The sequence below is a fragment of the Homo sapiens genome, chromosome 7, assembly GCF_000001405.40.
Source record: "Homo sapiens chromosome 7, GRCh38.p14 Primary Assembly".
In the NCBI taxonomy this organism is placed as follows: domain Eukaryota; kingdom Metazoa; phylum Chordata; class Mammalia; order Primates; family Hominidae; genus Homo; species Homo sapiens.
Window position 1 is genome coordinate 115,110,002 of NC_000007.14, and position 27,570 is coordinate 115,137,571.

Genomic DNA, 27,570 nt, shown 5'->3' on the forward strand with positions numbered 1-27,570 from the left:
ATATATTTTCAATGGATGAATTGTGTAGTATGTGAATTCTATCTCAATAAAGCTGTTTTGAAAATCAAATAAAAAATGGAGGTGTGGTGAGTGTAGACATGGAGAGTAAGTTTTAGCAGTGGGTCCAGTTTTATGTGTGTGAAACATCAAGATCAAATAGACAACAAAAGCAGAGTGTCATGTTGCTAATTGATAAGAAAGATAGATGAAAATGCCTCTTAACTCACTAGCAAGAAGATATAACTGCTTTAGTGAGATGTATTGATAAATATGAAACGATTTTATTTTTTTAAAATAAATTTCAACTGTTCTATATTGAGCCCCCTCTGTCTTTTCTTCCCTTAACAGGATTTTAGCAATATTTCCTAACTTTTCTGCTACTTTTGGCAATTAAAAGAGGCTAATTCTTGTGTTCAAGAATTTGCCCTTTATATTTAAAATTTAACTTTTATATCCAATGCAAAGTGATTCTCCTCTCTTCTTCCTAGAAGAGGCAGAAGCTGTGCAGGAGGGAATGTTGTCTGCCTCTCAGGCATTTTTCAGGCCTTCTCACTTCTCTCCTGTCTCTTTCTACCACCTTTAAGTGGTGCTATCTCTGGGGGCAGTGATGAAGGAAATGAAGGAACAATGTTCTCATGCTTCAGAGCCGATTCCAGGTGCACACACACAGAGACCTGCACCCTTGCCCTTAGCACTCTGATGAGGACTTGACCTTGTGAAAGGTTGTGGCCATTCCCTTCCCATGTGAACTGGCCTTTATTTACTCTTTCTCTGGTAGTTTTCCAAATACTTGTATTGGCTTCTTTTTTTAAAAGGTCAGTTTCCCTCTCCTGCTGCTATTTAGACTTGATCATTATTCCTTATGCTATTTTACTCAAGTCCTTGGAAAGAATGTTCAATGTAAGCAATTTCCACTTTGCTGTCTATCCTATGAGTTACATATGAGCTATTACTTGTTACAAATTGTTAGTTCTAGCAACTTGCTGAGGAGGTTATTACGTCAAAGTACTGTACATATGGGGTTGACTTTTCCTTTTTCTGGTACTGTCTTGATTTGAGGGGTGTGGAAACTAAATTGTTAAAGACATCATCAGATATTGTCACCACACCTTCCACCCTCTTCTTTTCTCTTTTGTTTTGTTTGTTTATCTGCTATTTTCTCCTATTTATCATTGCTTCCATCAAAATATCAGATTCAATTGAAACTCTATTCAAATTCAGCAAAAACATTAATAGCTGGAAATTATTTGTGTATTTCCTCATTAATTGTCTTGCTGATTTCTATAGAGTTAAACCACATTATCCAGGTGGTGGTATGTTGAACACAAAGGCACAATAAGCACTAAATAATTTACTTCTAGCTCTTCCAAACACTACCATATTCTCCAGTGACTTGGGCAGCAGTGGTGATTATATCTGTAGGCTTGTCTTCTTTGTCAAATCTGGCAGTGGCTTTTTTGACATCACTAAAAATGACACTGACAGTAGAGTCCTTGGGGTGGCCCACATGTATTATTTTTAAGAAAGCAAATGTCACAGTACTGTGGAAACAATCATATTACTGGCACTTAAAATCATACCTCACCATGTCAAGGTAAAAAATAGCTTGGGACAACAGATCTGAGTTTGATTAAGAGTACTGTGGAAAACAGAGTGAGGTAGAAACCAAACATTTTTAAGTTCTTCTACTTAGTTCTCTCATTCCAACACCACAGAATACAGCCACTCAATCTATGAGCTAGTCAGGCATACAAATTCTCACTTCACTTTACGTCCTCTGCAAGTAGACAATTTTGGATCTGCAGTTACTAACATCTCCAGAGGCCAGGCAACACAGACTTTTGCATGACTTTCAGAGCCACAAAAGAAACATGGGGACCCACAATTGGGAAGGAATCATTCAATACCACTTGACTTGAGATTTTGAAGTATCATTCCCATTTCACTAATAGCCAAGTTAGAACATATGCTGGAAGAGACACACAAGTGAAAAACAAAAAACACACATTTAACTGCATTCTTTACACTTGTGGAAAAAACACATAATTTAACTATTCTTGAGTTTACCTGATTGTCATGTACATAACTGGAAGAAGAAATTAAGTCTTGTTTGTATAATTAGACTACCAACACAGAAGCAGAAGTTACACCAAGTCATGGGATATGTTGAGCCTTTAGTACTGGGTCCTACACCTACTGATGGTGTGTTTTCCAACTAACTACCTTTAACTGCATGAGAAGAGCATACCTGCCTGCATACACTGGGGAGGGAAAGTTGGGAGAGTGGGCATGGTTACAACAAATCTGTTTTATGTTGGGAGGCCAACGCAGGTGGATCACCTGAGGTCAGGAGTTTGAGACCAGCCTGGCCAACATGGTGAAACCCCGTCTCTACTAAAATACAAAAATTAGCTGAGTGTGGTGGAGGGCACCTATAATCCCAGCTACTCTGGAGGCTGAGTCAGGAGAATCACTTGAACCCAGGAGGCAAAGGTTGCAGTGAGCCAAGATCATGTCTTGCACTCTAGCCTGGGCAATAAGAGTGAAACTCTGTCTCAAAAAACAAACAAACAAACAAACGATTTTATGTTCCCAGACTTGAAGTCATAGCTTTCCTTCTCCTTTGGGACAGAAGAAAGTCTACTAATCTCACTTTCTCTCCAACTCTGGCTCATCAGGCTGTTTTTCTAATATATTTCTAACTCATCTATGTTTTTCCATTTTCTTCTCTCTCAATCTTCCCTTTCCACCCTATATGCCGATATCAGATAGACTAGCTTTCCTAAACTCATTTTAACAATTCTCTGCTTAAGAATCAAAGATGGCTCTTTTTTTGTCTATCAAAGCAAGTCCAGTTCCTCAGCTTGGCACTTTATCCCTATCCACAAACACCCTCCTTCACTCTCATATCTTCACTTTATTCCTTACATCTCAAGGTTTCTCTCACTTTCTCCCCAAACTGCCTCATCTCCCATCTAGAGTGTGTTCACATTACCTTGGCTCCGTCCTCCAGTGTTTCTCAACTGTAGGAAACCATTATTTCTGCTGCCCCCAGGGATTCTGATATGTTCCTCATTCCTTTACTCCATTAAAGAATCATAGCTTTTTGCTTATCCTAGCAGACGGGGGTTTGTAAAGCTTTGCTTCTCTTGATTTGTATTATAAAAGCAGAAGTTATTGGTTTGTTTTTAAATATATATATAAAATTGTTGTAATATTGAATATGCATTTCTTTTCAAGTAACACCCTTTCTTTCCACTTAGTGGATATTCTTCCTCCCTTGAAAATGACGGACATAGTTAATTCATGCATTTCTCTGCAGTCAGCATAATCTTAGCCTTCCCTGATGTCATCTTTATTCTCTCTTCTTTGAACTCCTATGATGCTTGTATATGACACGTACCCATTTATTACTTAGTTCTCGTGTGTTGTTTTTTTTTCTTCAGTGAAATGGGTAAAGTTCTTGAGAACAGTAGTCATGTCATATTTCTCAATATTTCCATCTAGTCTAATATCAGGCATGTGATACATCCTTAAGTTCCTGTTATCAATTCGTTTTGCTGAACAATTGGAATTTTCTGCCATTTTAAACATGTGTCTGTCTGAATCATGGATGCTAACCATGTTTGTAAAAGCCAAACATACTGATAATCCATGTATTTTATGGAGAAAAATTACAGTCTCCAGGCTCTGGGCAAATTTTGTGCACATGTAAAAATACTCAGAAAAATAACAGGAATAATTAAATACATGTTTCTGAGTTGAATGAGGTTTTAAAGGTAATCACTACCATATATTTAGTGACAATTCTTCTCAGTGCCTAATAGTTTCTGGGAATTTGTGGATGGTTTACTCATTAAACTGTTGCTTACAATCTATCCCAACTTGTTTTGCCTACTCTAGTTTCTCTCTTCACAAACTATCCCTTGTTCAGGCGGAAAAAAAAATGTGCATGAGGAATACTTTCCACGCATCTTGCCAACCCTGTTAAGAAACATTTCATTTGTTCTTCCAAAGCTAATGTTTACCTTTCCGCATAGATAGGACTTTCATCTGAAATCTGATATTTTAGAAGTTTTCATTTACCACTTTAGAAGCAATATTTTGTCCATGTTACATAGGTATTCACCACCATTACTTTCACTGAATTCTGTATCAAATGTGATTATGAAACAAATCACTGTAATATACTGATAAGAAATAAATTAGCATACACCTATAGTACGCTGCATTTGATTTGTGTAGCTATGTGGATAATTCTACACTGTTGGGGGAATGCTACCATAATTTAAATAGAAAACGAGTTTTGTTTTCTAAATAAAGTTTAATGGTGTATCCAGAAATAATATTCTCCTATCCTTGGTTTTAAAGTGCTCAAGGAAGCACAAAAGCTTTCTGGGATTTCATGTATTCAAATGGGGTTTTAAACATGTTATTTCATTTCTTAACAATTCAAGTACACTTATTACGCATTTGCTTGTGCTTCCATAGATCGCCAAGCTGACCTTGTACATATATAATAAATGATCTTCAAAGACAATTTATGTTTTATTTTCTTGATTTATGTTATTGGCTCGCTGACTATTCCGAGGGAAAATGAGGTGGAATACTTCTAAATATGTCCTTCTCACCTTCCTTCTTACACCTCCCTTTCCTGCCAAAATCTTGTTTTTACAGTTTTATTTTGTTACTGATGCTCACTCTGTGTGGTCCTTTTCTAATAAGAAAATAGAAATAGAAAAACACACCCATTTATTTTCCCCTTTACTGTAATCCTGGCCTCTTGGGAATTTGGAGGTCAGTGATTTGCTATGTCTCCCGCTCCTTCCGTTCTTCCCAGATAGGAGCTTATTGGATGAAGAGAGAACAGTGGTGCTTTGTGACTGGGGGACTGGGCAGTGCTTGACCTAGCACTTTTCTCCAGGTGCATACACCTGCAGTTCACTGTGGCTGGACTGTTGGATCAGCCAGTCAAACAATTTATTCTTTTTAATGAATTAATTGGGCATTTAACTGAAATGGCAAATCACAGTCCTGAATTAAAAGGGTAAAATGGTGATTTGTATAAGGATAACCTAAATTATTTGAAGAAAAATGCAGAGCAGTGTCATGCTCAGTATACATCCTGGAAAATATAAAAACCTAATGTCATCTGACTCTGCTATTTCAGAGATAAAGTGTTAAATAATGACATTCCTGTATTTATTTTATTACCCAGATATAATGTATGAGTGAAAGTTTAAATGGAATACTTCCAAAATATTAGTGCTGAACTGGATTCAAATTTTGGGGGAAAAAAACAATTCTTTTAAAAGGGCAGATACACTGGAGATTGAACACAATAAAACCCTAGAAATTATAAGTTTAGCTTAAAACTCCATCATTAATACATCCCTTTAGAATATAACAGAGAACAACACATTCTCACATTGCCACAGTGCCCTTTGTTCTGCAATCCTAGAGAACTTAACGGCAAATACAGTTAAAATTAACAACAGAGCAACAGATTTCCTAAAGGAATTATTATAGACAGATGGAAATGAAACAAATCGGCTTAAAGTTTAGATCGAAGAAATCAACCATGGGGGCTTTCTTTATTTCATTTCACAATGCATTCAAAGTCAGAGGACTCCCGATATATAACTGAGTTACAATTTGGCTGGTAACTAAAAACAATTGATGTTCATTTAATGTGTTATTTACAGGCACTAAGCCCTCATCACACATTAACTTCTTCAATCTCTCAAGGATTCTATGAGATAGTGTATTAGTTTCCTAGGCACGCCGTAATAACCGCCACACATTCGGAGGCTTAAAACAACAGAAATGTATTCCCCCCCAGTTCTAGAGACTAGAACTCCAAAATCTAGCAAAGATGCACTACCCCTGGGGTCTCTTGGGGAAAATCCATTCCCACTTCTGGTGACTGTTACATTCCTTGATTTGTGGCTGCATCATTCTAATCTCTGTCTGCATGGTCACATTGCCACCTCCCCTCTTGTCTTTGTCTCCTCTGTGTATCTTTTATAAGGACACTTGTCATTGAATTTGGGGCCCACACACATATTTGAGGATGATCTTTTCATCTCAAGACCTGTAGCTTAATTACATCTGCAAAGACCCTGTTCTCAATTAAGGTAACATTCACAGGTTCCCAGGATTAGGATGTAGACAGATCTTTTAGGGGTCATTCATTCAACCCACTGCAGCACTGTCTTCATTTTACAGATTAAGAAAATAAAGAGAATTATCTAACTTGTATTGGACTACATGTAATGTATGAACATTGTATGAAGTGGTTTACATACACTGTACTACCTATCTAATGTTCATAACATCCTATGACATAGGTATAATTATTATTATTGGCATTTTACAGATAAGGAATCTGGGCTTCTTGAATTTAATTTACTTAATATCACCCAGACAAAAAATTTACTTCCTTTCTGAAGGCAGATTGCTAGACAAAAATAAATAATAATAATTTATTTATACAATTATATATTTATTACATAAATACCTGAAATATATAGTATATCAGATAGTTTTAAGGGTTATCAAAAAACAAAAGAAAAAGGGAGGATAGAGAATACTGTGAACAAATTGCATTTTTAAATAGGCGGTCAGGGAAGGTTTCACTTAGAAGAGATCATAGATGGAAGGAGAGGAGAGAGTGGGCTATGTAGAAATCTGGGAGAAGGGCATTCCAGGCAGAAAGAACAGCAGGTGTAAACCCCTTGAGGCATGTTCAGTAACTACAATAATGAAAAGTAGCATATGTCTGTGTGACTATGTGTGTGTGTGAACAGTAGTGAGAACTACTGGCTTCTCTTTTAGACAGGTGAGGTATGAAGTACCTAAAGGAATACTCGGATGTGAGTAGAGTAACATATATGCCTCAAGATCAGTAGCAAGATCTATGCAGGAGAAAAAAACTTGGAAGTCATTATCAAATACAGTGCTCCAAATCCAGTGCTCATTGCCCCATACCAGGAGGAAGCAATTTAAATAAACAGCACTTTTGTGCAGGAAGTGCCAAATTGTGCCATGTTGACAATTGCATTTTTTTAAAAAATGACTTTTAGAGTTAGTCCTCCTATTGGCACACTCAATAAACTTCAAAAAATGAAAATACATGCTCACAAATATGAAATAAATTTACATAGGTCTAACCCTTAACATGCTAAAATCATGGACTCAAGTTGGTTATTCTCATTACCAAAATATCATTTATCTTTTGTCTTTACAATGCAGTTGATGTGAGCATGGCACTTTAACGTCAAGTGTGGTTGAATAAGCATGCCTAATGCTGGACATCTGGTTAAGCAGTTCAGTGGAACTCCAGAAGGCGGACAATTGGATCTACGCAGCCTAATATCCTCTCTGTAACTGGAAGTGAAAGAAATTTTTTCCCTACAATTTTGACTTCTAATAAAATCAAAACTTCTGAAGTGCAGAAACAAGAAAAGCCTTCTCAATTTACTAAGCTCATTCTTGATAGTTAATAATTATCAGACTCTACCTAACAAACCAAGTGACTCATAACAGATCGTGGTGTTTATGTAGTCTTACTCTTCTTTTCTGCCATTCATTAAATGGAACCATTGCTACAAAGAAATTCTTGCTGGGTTCTGTACATGTGCATGTTTCAAGAAGAATTGTGTTTATAGCAGTCCAGTCATGATTACAGAATTTCCTTACATTTTAATATATAATTTGCCTCTCTTTGCTGCAGGTGGAACACAGGAATGGGGTGGAGGAGGGGGTAGACTGCTTTGGAATGTCAGTCAAAAGGGTGGGAAAATATAATCGGGGCTGGGGCTAATGCAAAGCACTTGGTGAACCTGCCTTGGTTAATGGACAAAGCCAAAATTTAAGCAGGGAAATTGAGACTGGAGCTGCCTAGAGGGAAAGCAAAAAGCCTAGTGGTGGGACAAGGAGAGTGCAAAACTGAGGCACGGAGCCAAGAATGTGGATACTAGGAGGGGAGTCTGAACATCAGCAGATTAGGACCAATGAAGAGTTGTAGGAATTGAACCCCAACAATGATGTAGATGTCAGCTGTCACTTGTGATTTCTTACTAGGGAGTGTAATGCTTATACTAGCCATGAAGGATTTGTTAGGAAATGTGACCTATTAATTTCTAAGAGACATTGAGATAATTATGATCTTTTGTATAGACTATGTACTAGTTCTTCTTTCAGGTTTTATTTTTTTTTTGTTAGTATGTTTTCATCTTAGAATTTTCTTTGCTGTAACTCTTTTCTTATCCAGAAATGTTCTTAGTCTCTGATTATCCCATGAACGACTGGTGTTCTTTCCTGCCATTCAGATCTTACCTTAAATTGTCACTTCTACCAAGAAGCTTTCCTGACAACACAATCTAAAGAATCTGTTTCGGACTTCCTCCATAACATCTCTAATTTTCAGCATGGGATCCATCTGACATTTCTTCCCTCTTTCCATTCTTTCTTCACTTCCTCCTTTCTGCCCACCTTTCCTGATAGATTTCAAGTTCCATGAGAGTTAGAACCTTGACTGTCTGATGTCCTATGGTAGCTTCAGCACAGAGGAGAGTAAGTGATTCTTAATATTCCTCAGTAAATATTTTAATTAAATTATAAATAGATGGATATTTGCTGCATTAACAATTACTTCTTAAATGTGCTTGTTTTGTTGCCGAGCTTTTAACTTTTTTTTTGTTTGTTTGTTTTTTGCACTGTATCAAAGAGGAGCCATTGAAGAATACTGTTGTCCTATCCCAGAAGGAGCAAGCGGACAACACTGATATCCTGACCACTAACCATCCAGCACCACTTAAAGGTATCTATATTTTATGGCACAGGAAATAAGATGTATTAGTCATTCATTTCTTAATAGTAGTAGACTGCATAAAAACCACTTGTAATTCTTCCTGTTTATTCGAAACCAGAGGTCCCAAAACCCCCGGCTGTCTACCAATACCCATCTGTGACCTCTTAGGAACCGAGCTTCACAGCAGGAGGTGAATGGTGGACAAGCGAGCATTATCGCCTCAGCTCCACCTCCTGTCAGGTCAGCGGCAACATTAAATTTTTATAGGAATGTGAACCCTATTGTGAACTGTGCATGTGAGAAAACTAGGTTGCATGCTCTTTATGATAATCTAATGCCTGATGATCTGAGGTGGAACATCCCAAAACCATTGCCCCTACCCACCCCGGCTATGGAAAAATTGTCTTCCACAGAACTAGTCCCTGGTGCCAAAAAGGTTGAGGACTCTTCTAAACCACTAGCATTACATGCTTCTAAGATATTTCCCAGGAAAGGGAAAGTGGGCAACAAATAGTATTATGAAAGCACCTCCATCATCAGGATCTTATATTTAAGTGGTTGATAGGAGGATTGCTGAAGAAAGAAAGGTTAGTTAGGATTCTCATCCACAAAATATTAATTTTGTTTCTAAGTAAAAATAATAAAAATCCTAAGTAGAAGTATTATGTGTCCCTGACCATTTCAAGAGTCAAAACCTAAGGTCAAAAATTATTAACGTCTTTCACAGCCTTTGCTTTACCTATTTTTCATTAGAATCACCTGGGGACACTTTTAAATAATACAGGTACTAGGTTCCATACTCAAAGATTGTGATTCCACTAGTCTGTGTGGGACCAGGGCATTTATAGATAGCCATAAGTTCCTAACACAGATACATTTTAGGAATGGTAATTAGAGTATTGTTTATAATGGAGAAAGATTGAAAATGATTTAAATATCCTTAAAGTGTTGTTGTCACAGCAGATTTAATAAGATGGGAAAATATTGACAACATATTATAGCATGAAAAGCTTAGGTTTACATCAAAGAAGAGAAAGCAAATGGTCCTGCTTAAAATAGATGTTATTTTTAAAGTTTCAATGATACGTTCTTTCTTTTTCACTGAAAAATAAAGTTAGTTAAATTAGGCTTTTCTGTGTCTCCTAATTGGTGTTCCTTTTTAAAAGTTTTAAAATGTCTTTATTGACATAATAATTGTACATATGGAGTACACAGTGATGTGATACAGATAAGTATAGTGATCAGATCAGAGTAATTCGTGTATCCATCATCTCAAACATTTATCTTTCTTTGTGTTGGGAACATTCAATAATTGGTTTTACTTTGTGGAGTGTGAGCCATACTATTAAAAACAAAAAAAAAAAAAAGAAGAAGAAGCCAGGTGCAGTGGCACACACCTGTAGCCCCAGTTACTCAGGATGTTAAGGCAGGAGGGTCGTTGAACCCAGGAGTTCAGGGCCATAGTATGTAATGATCTTGCCTGTGACTTGCCACTGCACTCCAGCCTGGGTGGCAGAAGGAGACCTTGTCTGAAGAAAAAAAAAAAAAAGAGAGAGAGAGAGAGAAGTGTTCAGCACCATGCTGCTTCCTCTGATTCCTACGGGGAGATGCTGAATTTGACCTTGCCCCACCTCCTTGAGGCGCAGAATCCTCAGACCCGCTGAGTGGAGGTGGACAAACAGATCTTTGTCACCATTATCTTAGACTTTGGGACACAAAAATCTTTCAGTTCCAGAGCCTAAAATGCTACTAAAAATGGAACAAATGATAACCTAGACTGTGGGCACCTCAGAAAAAGAACAAGACTTAGTTAAATTTCTCAAAAACAAAAAAAAAACCCAATAGTATCCTTTTTTCCTTATTTAAAAAGGTTGAGGGAGACAATAACTTTCTTTATCCCTTCCTAGGCCTGGGTCTGTCTCTGCAGGACAGGAAGAATCTTCATATTACTTGTTAAGCCCTGTTGTCACTGTGCTTTTAGAGAAAAACAAAACATTACACCTGGAAGTTTAGTGATTATCTGCTCTGGCTGGCCATGCTTTAAAGGTGAAGCAGTTTAGGCCCAGGGGTCCTGCAGCCAGCCATAGACCAAGGCAGTTTCTGCTCGGTCCACCTGCAGCCTTGTCCTGCCTGCCTGACAAGGCTCAGAGTGATTGTCTCCCAAACAAGTCCAGGGAGGTAAAGTCAGAACGCTGAGAAGGAAAAGAACCTGTAAAACACAGGACAAACACTTAAGTTATCTGAGCTGAAGAGACCTATAGTCAGAAGACCCTGCATGCCAGGTTTTGTGTTCTCAAGGATCAGCAAAACATAGATGCTATGGCCTGGCTAGTCCTACTGGCGTAGGAGGCAGGACTCAACTCTAGAGGTGGGGCCAGACACTAGATCAGATTGAGGACTAGCTAAAACAGGGACAAGGTGGAAACAGCTTTCCTTAAGACATGCCCACCAATGTGCCATGTCAGCTTACCATTGTCATGGCAACACTCAGAAGTTACCATCCCTTTCCATGGCAGTAACTTGATGACCTGGAAGTTATTACTCTTTTTCTAGAAATTTCTGCATAATCCCCCTTAATTTACATGTAATTTAAAGTGGTTATAAGTATGACTGCAGAACTGCCTCTAAGCTGCTACTCTCAGCACACTATGGAGCCCTGCTCTGTAGGAGCAGTCATGGAGCTGTAACACTGCTGCCTCAATAAAGCTGTTTTCTTCTACCACCAGCTCAGTGTTAAATTCTTTCTTGAGCAAAGTCAAGAACCCTCCCAGGCTAAGCCCCAATTTGATACTTACCTGTCCTGCATCACTAACTTACTAATGTACTAAGATTTTTAGGAATCCAGAAAAAAAATTAACTAATCTAAAATATACAGGTTGGATAAAGTTGAAGTTGAACTTTTATTCTCTCAGTTAGCATGCAGTGAGGACTCAAGATTTTATTGTCATGGTCCTATAAAATTTGATGGAAAGAAAATGTATGCAAAGGATGAATCAAGAGGGCAAAAATGTTTAAGTCTTTCATTAAAGAAAAGACACTCAACGCAGTGCAAGGCTTCAATACTGTGCAGTGGGGTGGTGTGTGTTAGGAGAGTTTAGACCTTAGAAGGAATAGGAATACATATGAAATAATCAACATGAGTCTTCCACATCTGCATTTACCATGGAGCACTTCTATTCAGTAATAAGGCAGGTATTTTATTTTACTTTATTTTATTTATTCCAACTTGTCAAAATTAACAAAGGCCAAAGCTATGGTTGCAAATGTATTTTCCCAACAAGTAATATCATTCATAATACCACTGTCCTATAAGGAAAGGAACAAGGAAGTGACATGTTCACTTTAACCTTTTAAATTATAGTTTTAAAAAGAATAACAGAAAGAAAGAAGTGGCTGAAACCTAAATGCCATATGGAGAAGACAGCTAATTGGTAAGAAAATAATTTTTATTTCCAGTTTTGAATGGGTAATAAAAACAACTGAGAGGAAGGAAAAATAACATTATACAGTAGGTGGTGGCAGTTTCCTCTGAAGTAATCATGCATTAAAGTATAAAGTTGTACATAGCTTGGAGAAGTGTGCTGCTTCTCAGATACTCAATTGGTTAAAGGCAAACAAGCTAGTATAAAGTGGTTGAGTACAAAGATGTCATTTCCTCCTCCCATCAAATTAAAGAGGGTTGTAAAGTTTTTCTGTGTGTGACACAAACAGTGGTGTGCTTTACCTACTGCCAGCTTGGATCACTGTGATAGGACTTGCTGGTAAACATCACTGCATCATGGATTTAAAGAGGTGTCACCTCTTTTTCATTTGGCTGGAAGATGATAATTAGCAGACAAGTGTCTCCTGATACTCATAGGAGGGAGCAAAACAGGAAATCAAAGGCTTCCTACTCTGCAAATAATTGTTTGCAAATGCCTGGGTCTGTCAGGATTCCAGAAGATAGTGAACATTTCTCAGCTGGCGAAGCACTGCCTTTTTGACTCTGATGTCTGCATCTTATCATAGTGTGCAAATTATTTAGCAACTGCCACATTATTTATAGGTATGAATTGAACAAATTAATCTCATAAATAATTCATTTGGGGGGCTGTGAATTAGCAGGGCACCACAGTAAAATAAAAATCTACTTTTACAAAGCTGATATCAATTGTCATTGTGAGTTAGATTCAATCTTTTTTCAAACAACATTTTAGCATACTGCATGTGGCCTTTTTAAGGTTTAGAACCAAGACTGTGCAGATGAGGTGAATACAAGTATCTAGACAATCTGTTGGAGTGCTCTAAAAATAATAAAAGGAATATAAGTGCGGAATTCTGGTGTGAATTATCCAGATAATTGCTGCACTTTTTCAATTCACCTTGGGTGCATAGTTTTTTAAAAACTGTCTTTTTCCTTAATGAGAGTTCTGAAATATAGAGACTTATAAGATGAAATAGTTTGATACAGAAGAAAGTAGGTCTTGTCCTAACAGAGCAGCAGGCTGTCAAACTATTTCATCAATCAAAAAACCAAGAACAGGCCTTAGATACCCCACAATTTTTAAAACTGGAAACAGTGGGAAAAATTTTACTTCCCTACAGTGAGACATAAGAATGTCAATGTGGACCTGAGAGAAAGACAGTCGCAAGTTTGTTTGCTAGTAGACTCCTAGGGAGCTGAACACAAAAATCCCATAAATAATTAGCTCTCCTGTGACAGGCTTCTGAATTACTGTGATACATTAATTGGACAAAATTAGCATGAATTAAGGCAAATAACTATAACATGTAATTTATTACTTACTAAGCATGGTGCTGCAGTGGAAGCTTCGGATTTCCCTTAAGATTGCTTTAACAGCTATAATGCATTCCTTAATTTACTCTGTGGAAAATCAATTTTTTCAGAGTTCATTAAGCACCAATATGTTACAATGCAGCTCTCTAGAGCATAGAGCCTCAATACATTATGCAAATCCATGCCAGTGTGGCACCAATATGTAAATAGAAGTAATGTTATTGTCAGTTTCCTATTGATAAGTCTGATGAGAATGAGAATACCTAGAACTTCTTGAATTTGTTGACTTATTTTGTGTGGTTGGGGCTGTTGCATGCTGTCCTTCACTGAATATAATGCCAATATTTCTTGCAAGGTATAGCAAGGCTTTCATCAATGACTGGAAACAGTGTCATTTCCATTTAATTCCATGCCTTCTTGTCTATGCTAACCAACCAATCAACAAGTGTTTATTAAGTATATATTATGGGCCTAGTGGAGTCCCTTCTGCATTTTAAGTGATAATAAGCTTTATTTACCTAATTTGATCCACAGAAATAATTTAGGTCATCAAAGCTGCAATTTCATGGAAATACATCTCAATTCCCCATTTCACTTGGCATCAATTGACTTAGGTCATATTAACAAAAAAAATAACATGTGGTTCAATTGAAAATAATTTTGTAAAAAGCAGTACGTTCAAGAAAAGTATAATTGAAGCAATTTGTTTGGCTTTAAGACTTAGTAGAAGAACTATTATTATAAAAACTAATATCCACAATATCTGATTTTTCAAGTTGGTGATTTTGTTTTCCCAATAAATAGCAATTCTGTAATCCTTATGACTTATTTTTTAAATGTTTCTTTTAGTTTCTAATTAATTTTCCACTATTTATTTTTTCTCTGGGTTATTTATACCATTAAAAAATCAATTAAGTCTCAATGTTCAGAAATAATAGAATGCTATGGACTGAATTTTATCTCCCCCAAATTCATATGTTGAAGCCCTAATCCCCAGTGTGATAGTATTGGGGATGAGGACTTGGGGAGGTAATTAGGTTTAGATGAGATCATGAGGGTGAGGACATGATGATGGAATTAGTGCTCTTATGAGAAGAGATACCAGAAACATGCTCACACACTCTCCCTCCCCACCATGTGAGGATACAGGGAGAAAGCACTTATCTGCAAGCCAGGAAGTGAACCCTTGCCAAAGCCCAACCATGCAGGCACCCTGATCTCAAACTTTCAGACTCCAGAACTGTGAGGAATAAGTTTGTGTTATTTAAGCCATCCAGTTTATGGTACTTTGTTAAGGCAGCCTAAGATGGCTAAGACATTGGGTAACAGTTGGAATAATATAAATGTGTACAATTTGGTTGCTTGCATATAAAAATTATGTTGATTTATAAAATATTAGGTAGAATATGATTCCTTTTTTTGGTTCCAAAATACTCTTTCTATATTATATATATAACATGTATATAAAATATATAAATATATTTGTATATATAAATATATAATATATAATACATAAATATTATCATTTATAGAATACAAAAATATATAATGTATACAAATATATTATATATGATGTATTATTTATATTATATAATATATATCATATAATATATAAATGTGTAATATATAAAAAATATAATATATAAAATATAATATAAGTACATATTATATATACATTTATGGAAGATGGAGGATATATATCTAGAAGTTATCTGCAATGAATACTTTCATTTCCTGCAATAAATAAGAGCTAAATATTATTTAAATGAAAGGAATTATATAGGACCATACGGAATTATTTTCCCTACTGATTCTATTTCTTCTTTCTTCCCTGCTTACTTGGTTCTAGCCACACTCTCCTCTTTGGTCTTTCCTGGTACGCAGCATACAAGCCCACAGATTGAGGACTCTGCACTTGCTGTTCTCTCTGCCTGGAGCTCTATGGCTCCAGATAGACTCCTGCCAACTCCTTCGCCTTGTCCAAGTTACCTTCATTAAATGTCAGCTTAAATGTGTGCCTACTTTTTGCCCTACCTAGAATTGCAAGCACCTCTCACCACTGTGCTCCCATTCTCCTTAACTTAAGCCACTTTTATTCTCATAATAAAGCCACATATTTTTTCTTATTATATCATAATCGTACTGTATAATTTATATTTTATTACTTTTGTTTGTATACTTATTGTATGTTTCTGTTCACAAGGATGTAAACCCCATGAACACAGAGATCTTTGATTGTTTTATTCACTGATTTATGCCAAATGTTTGGAACAATGCCTGGCACATAGTAGATGTTTGATAATTTTTTTTTTTTCTGAATGAATAAATACATTTTAGCCAAATATGCTGACTCTGCTTGTTTGGTTATATTTATGTGTGTGTGAATGTATGTGCAGAAAAAGAAGAAATTAGTTAATACCAAATCTATAAAATGGGAAAAATAATGCTTACCTTATAGTGTTGTTATGAAACTCAACTAATATAAGATATGTGAAGGGTCTAGCATAAAATGTGGAGCATAATAAGCATTCAATAAATGGCATTCTGTTTTATTAACCATCTGGTTGCCTATTGTTGAAGGTCGGCTCTTTAATGTGCAAATTAAGGTGTTTTATTTCCTTCATATATCAATTATAGTCTGTTTATTTACTTCTAGATAAAATCCTTTGATGGACATTTAAGCTGTGCCAACTATTTACTAATAAAAATATTTACATTCTGTGGTTCCAGTTATTTTTTCATATATTTTCTTGCTCTTTTCCTTTATAGCACTTAATTTGAAATTATATATTTATTAAACCATGAATTTCTTTAATGTTTGTTTTCATACTACACTATAATTTCAGTGAAGACAGGTGCTCACGTGACTTACCTTACCTTTTATATTTGGAACCTGGCACAGTGTGCTTGTCACATAGTAGGTAATATATATGAAATTAAAGAAACACCAAAGACCTGAAAATAAATAGAAATGATAAAGCAAAAATGAAAGGAAGCCATCAGGAAATTTGAAAATGGAGAAAATTGCTGAAAATTGTTTTTATGGGATGACAATATGATCAACTCCTCTCTTTCTCTATCTATATACATACACACATACACACAAACATACACACACACACCAAATAGTTTGATGTATATGTATATGTGTGTATATATATATATATATATAAATAATTTTTCCACTAAATTGTGGACTTCCTTGTTTTAAGCCAAACTCCTTTCACTCAGTTTGTCTGATATAAAAAGACTCAAACTCAGTGTAGTGGATTGGTGTGCTAGCAGTGTTTTCTACACTCTTAATTCACTACCTGATTATCAAGTATACTGATGGTGATTAGCTATTTAATTATAAAGAAATTGGTCATAATAATAGGCACAAAAAAAATTAAGGTTTATAGGCACCAGAAAAGATCTTTTTTGTGTGTGTGCGGAAAATACCCTGAATTTTTCCATATTTTCTACAATAAATAAGTCCTTTTATCAGTTTTGGTAAATGAGTATTACAGTGAGCATGGGTAAGATATTCTATACTTTTTCTAATGAAAAATTGGGCTGAGGATTCCAATACTGCTGTTTCTCGGCTGGACAGTGTTTGTTAGTGTATGCTACAATTTTACCTAGAAATGAAGTGAGTTTGGGAATGAGAGAAATTTTGATGCTTCAGCATTTATATGATTTTTATTTTATTGGATTTTAAAATGGAAATACAATGCAAATTATATGGAGAATAAAACTGAGGAGAATTAGAAGGAAGAAAATTAACTCATAATTCAAAAAATTGGAAATGGGGAAAAAGAGTCCAACAAACTACTAGAGTAAAAGTTAAAAAAAAATCGCTGCTAAATTCAACATAATCTAATTGTCAAGAAGAAATCACTAGAATATTATTTCCATGCCTAGGATACATCATGTTTTCATCACTGAATTCTTAGCACCTAGAACAGAATGAAAAAGGAGTCAGTCAGGAAGTTGGCTAGAGAACTAGTCTTTCAAGTATGTCAAAACATTATCGCGGCATCAGATATCTCTGGAAACATAACAAGATGGTGAAAATGGTGTTTCCTTATTTTCTCTCAGGAAAAATATTCTATGAAACAGAAAGAAATATTTTGTTTTAGCTTGGAGGGTGTAATAAAATATGGCGGCTTCTCAGGTGGTGGATGTAGTTCTCTGAGGGGCTTTGGTTTTGCTGAATACTGTGTGGAGTTTTAAGACCAAGCTGATTAACCTGGACTAAGAGGAGGTACTAAGCTCTGTATTAGTCTAACCATGCAGAGCAGTGGCCCCTTTCCCGTTTTCACAATGAAATTCTTAGCCTCTATCCTAAATGCATGGAAAAGAAATATTTAGAGACTATCACTTTTAAAGGGTAGCCTATTGATCATGCCTTGCTTTAGGATCCCACTGTTTTCATAGTACTTTTGTCCCTACAACACCTAAACATTGTGACATTCTTTTCTGGTATAGTTACCATCACACTGGAATGACTGTGAAAGATTTCAAGTCTCTGGGAAAAAATTCAGATGTAAAGGAGGCCGGGGGAAAATACATTTGTTTGTGAAAGGTTTGATTTCATGACTTCATGGCTTCATATGAACATAGATTATGTGGAGAAATTCTGACACCTCTGGAATGCTTAGAACAGAGCTAATGAAATTTTGACAAGCGTCCATAAATATGTATTTTACAAGTAGGTTTTGTGAATGTGTTTGATAAACACATATGATGGTAAGGTCAACAAAGTATGACTCAAAAAGTATTTACGGGGCAGAGTGTTATGATACATTGTATCAGGTTTCTGATTTACATGGAGTAGCTAGAAATGACTTTACATGATAAAATAGAGCATTTACTGCCTATAAAGGATATAAAATACTAACCCAATTTGTACTGCAGAAGTTTATGTGACTTTTATTACAGGTACTTTGGTTGTTTCTATCTGCTTGATAGTTATTTCTTAGGGTTTTTGTAATATTCATTTTAAACATTAATACTCCAAGATTAGATTAAAATCTAAGTATCTGGTAAATAACATATATTGTGAAAGATTATGTTGTGAATGAGAACATTTTCTAACAGAGAAATAGCTATGAAATCTTTTAATGATCTATCATCCAAATAGTACAGTTAGAATGAGAGCTTTTAAAGATGTCTAATTTCTCAAACACTTTCCAAGTAATTTCATCTTTTACGTTATATAACTATGTGTTCTGAAAGTGCTTTGAATAATAAAATCTCTTGGTCTGAGATTAATAACCACATCTGTTTGTTTACTTATGTGTTTAACAATAATGTCATATTTTATAGCAATTTTAATGTGCTTTTACATCTGTTATGACATTCTGAGCTTACAATAGTCATACAAATAAATCATCTTTTAGTTAGGATCACTTCATATAGACCATTTTTATATAAACATTGAATCAAAAGTCTGGGTTCAAATCCAGTCTTTGCTTTCTGCCTATACATGGGACTTAGGAGAGTTGCTAACATTTAATAAGCACATACAATTGTCAACTATGATGGTTTACATACTTTATTTAATGACCCCTGGCATTGGCACCTTTATAATTTCTTTTTATACATTACAACACTGAGGTTAAAGGAGATTAAGTAATTTGCCCAAGGTTACACAGCTTGTAAATGACAGAGCTGGTAATAGAACCCTTGCCTGCCAGAACCCAAAGCCTAACTTTAATTGCAACTAGACTGCACCTCTTTAAACCATGGAGACTGGAGACACAGCTTCCATAGAAGAATGCTTTGCTTTCAATGATCCTGCTTACCTGAAATGTAAATTGTGGACTTCATGGAGCCACATTGGGAGCCTAACTCTAAGTTGTTTTTTTTTATATATATATAGCCATCACTTACCTTTGCATGAAGATTTGCCACAGGATTTGTCACTGTTGCCATTCTAACACTTCCCAATCAAATAGAAAACAGTCCTAAAAAGAAAATGTTGATCAAAACACTTTCTAGTTTCTCAGTCTTGATGTTACTGTTTTTTTCCTCCTGGACATTGTATTTTGTTCTTGTGAGAGAAGTCAGATTCAGAATTTTCTCAAAGTGTAATGAGACAGAGGAGTTCTAGAGCTAACCAAGTAGGACAGCTCAAGGAAGCACAACATGAGGGAGACATTCAAAGAAGATGAGTGAAGAACCATGAAGGGCCATGAAGACAGAGCCAACTTTCAATGTGAATGGAAAACAATAAAAATACCAAGACTGGAGGAAGGCTGTGGACGAAGGGCATGGAAGAGCAATTAGATCTAAGATAGTAGATGACACCAGCACATGCATTTGTTTGCAATACAGGAGAAAACCCCTGAGCTTAGGTACTTAGTATTGTGTAAAGTTAGGCATGCCAGCCTTTGCTCTGGAGGGAGACATTATATTTATTTTGCTGGACAATAATTATTCCTGGAGGGAGATACCATCTCTATCTTCCAAGGCTGTTTGATAAACAAACATCCTTCAAAGCACAAAGGCAACCAGTGCCTTTACTTCCAGTATAAGCAGATTTCCGTGGGACTGATAAAGACTTGTGTTTCATTAATATCCACACCTTGTTTCTATACTGTCTTGGCATCTGACAAGTTTTTCCCAAGGGAATACACTCCATCATCAACTCCAGTGGTGTCATTGATCACTTCAGCTAAACTCAAGGACAAATTCTATATTACCTATTCTATGTGGATAACTTCTATCTAGGGATAACAGCCCACAGGATGTAAAACAGTCATTCCTCCTGGAAGCATCCCTGAGTAGCCTAGCTTTAAAGAGATTCCTACAGTTATCTGAGATTTTCTTGATCCACTGGTGGTGTTTCCTTAAACACTTGGAGGTCTCTTATGAATACCTCTAAGGTATATGTCACTGTGTTTTCAGGAGGGAAATAAGTTCATGACTGGCTTTTATATAGGAAGTCCATTCCTGAAGGTGTCACAGTGCCATGGAGATAATGCTATTTACAATTATTGGGCCTCCCAAGTGGGACCTACACAAGTTGGAGGCTACAGGCTGATGGAGCCTCCAGGCCAGCTGGTCAGTATTAGTTTTCCCAACTTAGTTCAAATGGTTGAAACTAGTCTTTGTGTTTGGAGGGGGAGCCAGTCTAATCTGTTCTGTTTGTCTTGTCATCCGCCTGGTGACATTTGTCTGCTCCATGCAATGATTAAGCCTTGACAAATGGTAAATGGCAAATTGATAAATGGGGGTGTTGAAAGATGATTTGTATGTGAGGTGCAGAAGCTAGGACTCTGTGTACTCTTTCTGATGAACTTCTCTCTATGTTTGAGGGGATAATTTTCAAATCATGGTAGGAGCAGTCTGGTAGGAATGGCGGACGCAGAAAGTCAGTTTAATATAAAGCTCTTGCAACAGTTTGGGAGATGAGTATCACGGTGTTTTCATTTAGGAGGATGCCTCCAGAGTGGCTCTGACAAACAGCGTGTCTCAATGTCCCTAACTCTCCCCTAAGATTTTTATTCATTCTCCATCCAAGTGCTAAGGTTGTTGCTCTCCCTTCACTGGCACAAAATCAGCATTTCCCATTCACATAGCAATTGTGCCATTTGTTTTTCAGTCATCTTCTATTTGCATCCAGATCTTTCATTTGGAAGTATCAAATATTATACAACAGTGCATTTTTATAAAACTCACAGAGACACATAACATTGCCCACTTTTGCCAAGGTGGGCTACCATAGCATACTTGGCTTAGAGTATGCTTATGCAAATATTCAATATTCTCATAATCTAGGACTATATACATATATCCAATAAGAGAATCCAGGTGACTGCCCATAATTAAGTTTGAGTCCCCTAGGCCCCCTTTTAACCATGCTGATGTTCATAGGGTACAGCAACCAGTCCTGCCTGAGGTAACGGTTAGGGGAAAGAAAGATACACCATGTTCATGAATGGGCAGAGCAAAATGTCAGTTTTTCAAAATAAATCTATGTAGCTCCTCAATGTCTTTGACCTGCCTATTACCCATAGAGCAGGTGAGAGGAACAGATCTCTTTTTGGAGATAATTGTCTTCAATGACCAAACTACCTTACTAACATTGCAGACCAGGAGGAGGTATGGAAGTTAGAGTCAGAAATATTTTTGGCTTAATTTTGAGGAAGTATTTCCAATGCTCAATAATATCAGATACCTGTGGTTGTCTGGAAGGTCTATCAAATATCTAGACTATAAGCCCAGTATGGAGTGGCTTTTCCAGTAAGAGCTGAAAAGTTGTCATAATGGAAATTTTTTGAAAAGCCAAATATATGACACAGAAAGTGTCAAGGACCATAATGTTATAGCCAGAGTCAGTGGACGTGACAAGTATATCAACACTCTAACCTGTGTTTCAGTGGTGAGACATGGCCAACAGCCCCAAGAAGGTGGTCAAAAGTCTGATGTAGTTAATCTGCTAGGAGTGAGAGGGAGCAATGCCGCTTTCAATATGTCCTTTCTCACTGTGAGATAAAGAGGTCAACTTTTGGCAGGAGCCACAAGTCTGGCATGTGGTAGGCAACATAGAGTCCTTTACTTTGTGGTTGTCTTGCAATTGTAGATGTGTTTCCATCAACATAAGGGGTTCAGGCAGCAATCATGGCAATCTCAGTGGTTCAGGCTGTATCAGCTGTTTGACTCCAGTTGGTCTCATCAAAAGCTGACACTTACTAAGGCGTGTACATGAGTCACCAAGACAGTTTAATCAAAATCCATGGTTGCTTTCCACAGTTTGCAATTCTGAAGAGCAGTGTCTTTAATCTGCTAGTCTGCAGTTTTCCAAGCAGCAGACCAAATATCTAGCCCATTGGCAACAAACCAGGAGTTGTAAAAAATATACCAAGATTCATCAAGCAAAGTACTGGCCAGAGCTTTGAGCTCTGCCCATTCAGCAGAAAGACCAAATTTATTTTGGTACTAGTGTAGATGGTTCTGGGTTGGGCAGCCACAGCAGCCCAGTGGACAACATCATGATTCTGTTTAGCCAAACTATCTGTGAACCAGACCTAGACATTTAGGGTGATCTCTGTGGATCAAGAACCCCACTGAGTCAGCAACTCTGTCTCAAATGTGTTGGAGTGGGGAAAAAGTTTCCCCCAAAGGGAAGGCTACCTCTGTTTCATATAAAGCTGAGATACCTTGGTTCTGTTCTTGGCTATTTCATTTCCATTTGAAAAGGAAGGCCTGTTAGGTCCTTTCTGTCTTTTATTATTGAAGCCAAGTTATTGAGCCCAAGTTGACCCACCCCAATATCAGGTCAAAGAGTTGCAAGGCCTACTTGGATCAAGTGCTCCATGTAGGTAAGAACCTAGCATTAAGTATTATATGGTTTTCAACAGGAAGTACTTGCTAGTCATGTCAGGAAGGTGATGTAGGTGGAAGTTGCTACCCTTTGAAAGAGGCTCCCATTGGCTAAATCATTAGCCACAGAAACTTAAAGCTCAAAAGGATGAGGAGATTTGTGGGGCTCCAACGATACCAGCACTTCTCTACATGCAGCTCTTCCTAATCAGAAGAATCTCCACTGGCACTTTTGGGATGAGGCACAAGCATATAACATATCAATTTCTACTGTACCTTCAGATGTTAAAAAAACATTGAATTGGCCCAAATGGCCCCACCCATAGTGTCATATTAGCTTTCTTTCACCTCCATGAACCCTATTTAAACTCCGTTAGCTCATGAGACATGCGGAAAAGGGATGCCCATGAGAAACTTTCTCCCACTGCCTAGTATTTTCCAAACTCATTGTCTACATTTATGCCTCTGTACTATTGTTCATGAAATTCCCTCTGCCTGATATATCCTTCTCATCTCTCTCTGTCAATATTTGTCTCTTTTAGAGCCCAGCTCAAGTGTTGTATTCTCTGTAAAGCATTTGCTAACCACACCCATTGGGCTGCACGTATGCGCTTTTCCTTGAGGGTTCCCATTGCCTATTTCTGTTATGGTAAGCATCCCACTGTGTTACCATTGTTTGTTTACATGTCTCTTTATGCAGCTAGCCTGTGATGTTCTCAGCGCATGGGCCCTGTCTTGCTCATCTTTCTATCTTGGTGTCTGGTGCCATGCTTGTTTACTGAGCACTCACTCTTCTGAGTGATGGGCTGAGCATGGAGAATTAAGCTAGCTCCTATTGGAGTAGCATCTTATTTACTTTCCATTACTTTTTGACATTTAATAAGTCTTACTTCTGTCCTGTTCTTAAAGTTAAATATATTTCCTTATCAAAGTTGAATATAATAAAATAATAGTGCTAGGAAAACAGTTATGGCTTATAGATTAGATTGTTGATATGATATGGAAAGTTAACAGGATTCAAGTTATTTGGCTTAAAATCATACCTATTGCAAACTTCATTTGGCTACAAGAAGTTCTGATGGGCAAATTAATAGCTATAATATTATATAAGCACTCATAGAGCATTTACAATATTGTAAGCAGCAAATATTAGTGGTTAGCCGAAACAGATATCAGGCCAGCCTGAGCTTGTTTCCAGTTTCTATTAACTACTAGCCATAGTTAAGCTATCTAACTTTTTATGTCTAGTTTTTTCCTCTGTATCATAAAAGCAGCTATTTCAGAATATCACTGGAAGAAATTAAATATGATAATGCTTGTAAAGAGCATAGAATAATGCCTGGTAACAATACCTGCCCAATAAACTACAAAGCAAGGGGTTCATTTAGGATGGGACTCCTCGAAAAATGGTTACTAATTACATAATATTTGTATTAATGGACACTAATTATGCTTGTATATTTGTATTTGTATATTTTATACTTTCTGTGTTGTTGTATATTTTTTTCTCTTTTGATTCTAAAACACAACTGTGAGACAAGCAATGAAGGTATCGATATCTTAACAATGAGGCAACAAGGTCTCAGAAATAGTGACCTATTCATTGTCACACAACTTGCTATGGACTGGGTCAAGACATTTTGCTAGAATATTTGTCATTGTCTGATATCTATTGCACATGGGCATTGAATCTTTATCTGATCATGTTTCAAACAGAATAAAGCTCAGAATCTGCTCAAGGTAGGCACATCACCTACAAACAGTTTATAAGACGTTAAGATGAAATGAATTATCAACAACTATCTCAATATGTATAAAAATTTCAATGAGATTTTTAGCTCAGCTTAAAATATACAACAAATTACAAATAACTGTGGTAAAATTCATAAATATGTGTTGAATTTTAATGGCACCAAGTCCTTTTTGGAAATGGGAAGATTGTACATTGTGAATGTAAAAATGATTTTTAAAAAATACGCATCTTCTTAGCGGGGGGGTTGTAATGTTTTACTAACTTTGCTTGGTGTGTGTCTCAGTCTACCTTGAATCTCCCTTTGTTTGTGGTTGGTCACCTTCTCCAGTGCTTTGTGCTGTCATTGTTTCTCCTTCTAACTTCGCTGCTGCTTCTCTTGGGAAAGATTCAGTCTGTGTTGCTTTGCATGTTTCAGAGACTTATAGACTTCCTTTAGCCATAACGGAATATTTGCTTATTATTACTAGGGTTTACTGTCCTTTCTGCAAATGCCTATAATCTGATGAATCACTATTTTCTAGTGGAATTTGTTTTCATATTAAAATATGTTTTTCTGCTTTCTTCTCAAACAGGATACCATGGTAGATACTTCTCCTTCGCATGTTTAATTACTTTGGTAATTTGCCCACTTGGTATTTGCATAGGCTCCAGTGGCCAACACAGCCTTCTTTTACTGTTTCTACAGCATGGGAGAGACTTTCATCCACCCTCACCTCAGGAAATCCTCTATTTTGAGCTGGAAAAAAAAACGCTGCTGAGCAGAACCACCAGAGTCAGTTCTTTTCAGGAAATAGCAAAACTGTGCCCGTTGTATACTTCCTTAAAATAAAGAAGGCTATACATCAAAATTTGTGGCGATATGCCTAATTTCTTCTATTTTCAACTCTTCACCATACATTACTTGTGGTTTAAAATAAACATACAAACCCAAATACATTCATTTTTAAGAATTTTTGTTAAACGTGAGACAACAAAATGAAAGATTTGTCATAAATAAAAACGTCTTGTTAGGGTGATGTGGTAGCTCTGAGTTGGAAGATGCCATAAATATTAATATTTGTTATTGACATAAATATTCAACATGTTTTTGTTCAACAGTAGGTATATATTTGTGAAATACAGTGAGGACCACTTTAGTCTTAAAAGTAGGGAAGGGAGGTCACTTGATGGCTTCTCTACAGTCCCCTTCAACCATTCCCCATTATATTGAGAATAGGGCAAAGGAGCATTGCGTAACTTGAGAAGGGAGCCTGGAATGTTTGCATCTTCTCAAAGAGTACAGTAATTAAGATCAACAAAGCAGGTTTGTTTTATTTGGCCTTCACAGGATCCTTTTCAAAAATTTTGGCTTATCTTCAAAGGATTATTTTAATAGCTGAAAAGTTCAAACTCTCACACCTTAAATAAATAAAACATGGAAGTGACTGTTTGCTACAAAAATGATTTTAGGGAAAACTAATCTAACTAAAAATTGGCACTGAGTGCAGAAAGTTCCATCATCTTGAGCAAAGCATGCAGAGAGCCTGGGTGGTGTAGAGCAGGAAAGGGTGGAACTCTGACAACAGCTACAGAAAATACAGTAGCCTCCATTATCTGTGGTTTTGCTTTCTGCAGTTTCAGTAACCTGTGATCAAAAGTGGTCTGAAAATAGGTTAGCACAGTACAGTAAGATATTTTGAGAGAGAGACCATATTCACATAACTTTTACTACAATATATTGTTATAACTGCTCTATTTTATTATTAGTTATTGTTGTTAATCTATTACTGTGACTAATTTGTAAAATAAACTTTATCATAGGTATATGTGTATAGGAAAAAAACAGACTATATATAGGGTTTGGTATTATCTAGGGCTTCTGGCATCCATTGGGGGCAGTTGGAAAGTATCTCCCATGGGCAAGGAGAGAATACTGTATTTTTTCCTTATCTTCACAAGTGGTGGGCCAAAATCTGATATACTACTTTCTTCAAGCATACTCCTGAGGTTTTCCTGTTTGAGAGCCTGGCATTACATTAATTCCCTTTTCCGTAACCACACTCTGAATACACTTGATTAGGGTCAGCTTTTCTCACCCTCCCTCCCTCCTTCTCTCCCTCCCTCCTTTCTTTTCCTTCCTTCCTTCCTTCCTTCTTTCCTTCCTCCTCTTCCTCTCTTTCTTATTTGTCAATATCACATCCTTATCATCTCAAACATCAAATTCATGTGCCATTAGAATAAAGGAACTGTTGGAACAATGATGCCTTACTTCACAATATGTCTTTGTACAATATTGCTTTGCATATTTCTGAATCATAGGAGATTCATTAGAAAAGCAACTTAAACATTTTTTTTGTGTGTGGGCAGGATGAGAAATCATCTAGTGTTACCTGTCATGTCTTCTTGTCCAGTGGTAGTACATAAGCCCAGGGACAATGGTTTTCCATTTATCATATTGCCAGAACAATTGTCCGAGTGATTGTGGAGATAGCTTCCAGGAAATTCACTGGCTGGTAACTGATCATTGTTGGGATATTGCCTATGACTCTCCCTTTTTGCCACTTCATACTTCATGACTTATACCATGGAGGTTGATTCTTAGTGCTGACAACACTGAGGTCAAGAGCAGCCAGCCTCCTTGTCCCTGGGTGCTCACAGTGCAAAATCTGAATTTGGGTCCTTTCTTGAAAGTCTAGCACCACAGGGCATGTGAGTCCCACACGACCACAAAGGATGGAGCTGAGCCATAGTGCTCCTTTAGATAGGACATTTGTTCATCCATTCAAAGGAGGCCAGCCGGGCATGTTCATTCACTTGTCCTGACTAGCCCCTGTAGGCATTCAACTTTGACACAATTGAAAGACAAGATCATCTCATGTTAGAATCAAGTTTTTAAAAAATTTCATGAAGAATAACAGACATAAAGTGTGCACA

General features: G+C 36.7%; 2 long non-coding RNA genes and 1 pseudogene across 2 annotated transcripts in view, besides 1 other annotated feature; 1 reads left to right on the forward strand and 2 right to left on the reverse strand.

The window, feature by feature from the left end:
• The window catches only part of LINC01393 (long intergenic non-protein coding RNA 1393), a 47,357-nt gene extending 31,044 nt beyond the window's left edge, over positions 1-16,313 (forward strand). Inside the window, exons 2-4 of the long non-coding RNA NR_120521.1 lie at positions 8,732-8,824; positions 12,177-12,246; positions 15,442-16,313. This is a non-coding gene — a long non-coding RNA (long intergenic non-protein coding RNA 1393). The remainder of the gene's footprint in view (positions 1-8,731; positions 8,825-12,176; positions 12,247-15,441) is intronic.
• The window catches only part of LINC01392 (long intergenic non-protein coding RNA 1392), a 107,757-nt gene continuing 93,784 nt past the window's right edge, over positions 13,598-27,570 (reverse strand). Inside the window, exons 3-5 of the long non-coding RNA NR_126407.1 lie at positions 19,470-19,543; positions 16,470-16,547; positions 13,598-13,679 (exon numbers count right to left, since the gene is read on the reverse strand). This is a non-coding gene — a long non-coding RNA (long intergenic non-protein coding RNA 1392). The remainder of the gene's footprint in view (positions 13,680-16,469; positions 16,548-19,469; positions 19,544-27,570) is intronic.
• Positions 26,139-26,188: an enhancer, noted in NCBI's record as "active region_26525". NCBI's record gives its function as "activates an Ori minimal core promoter by ATAC-STARR-seq in GM12878 lymphoblastoid cells {active_cell/tissue: GM12878}" and the evidence as "EXISTENCE:reporter gene assay evidence [ECO:0000049][PMID:35858748]".
• Positions 26,575-27,161, reverse strand: RAC1P6 (Rac family small GTPase 1 pseudogene 6; annotated as a pseudogene).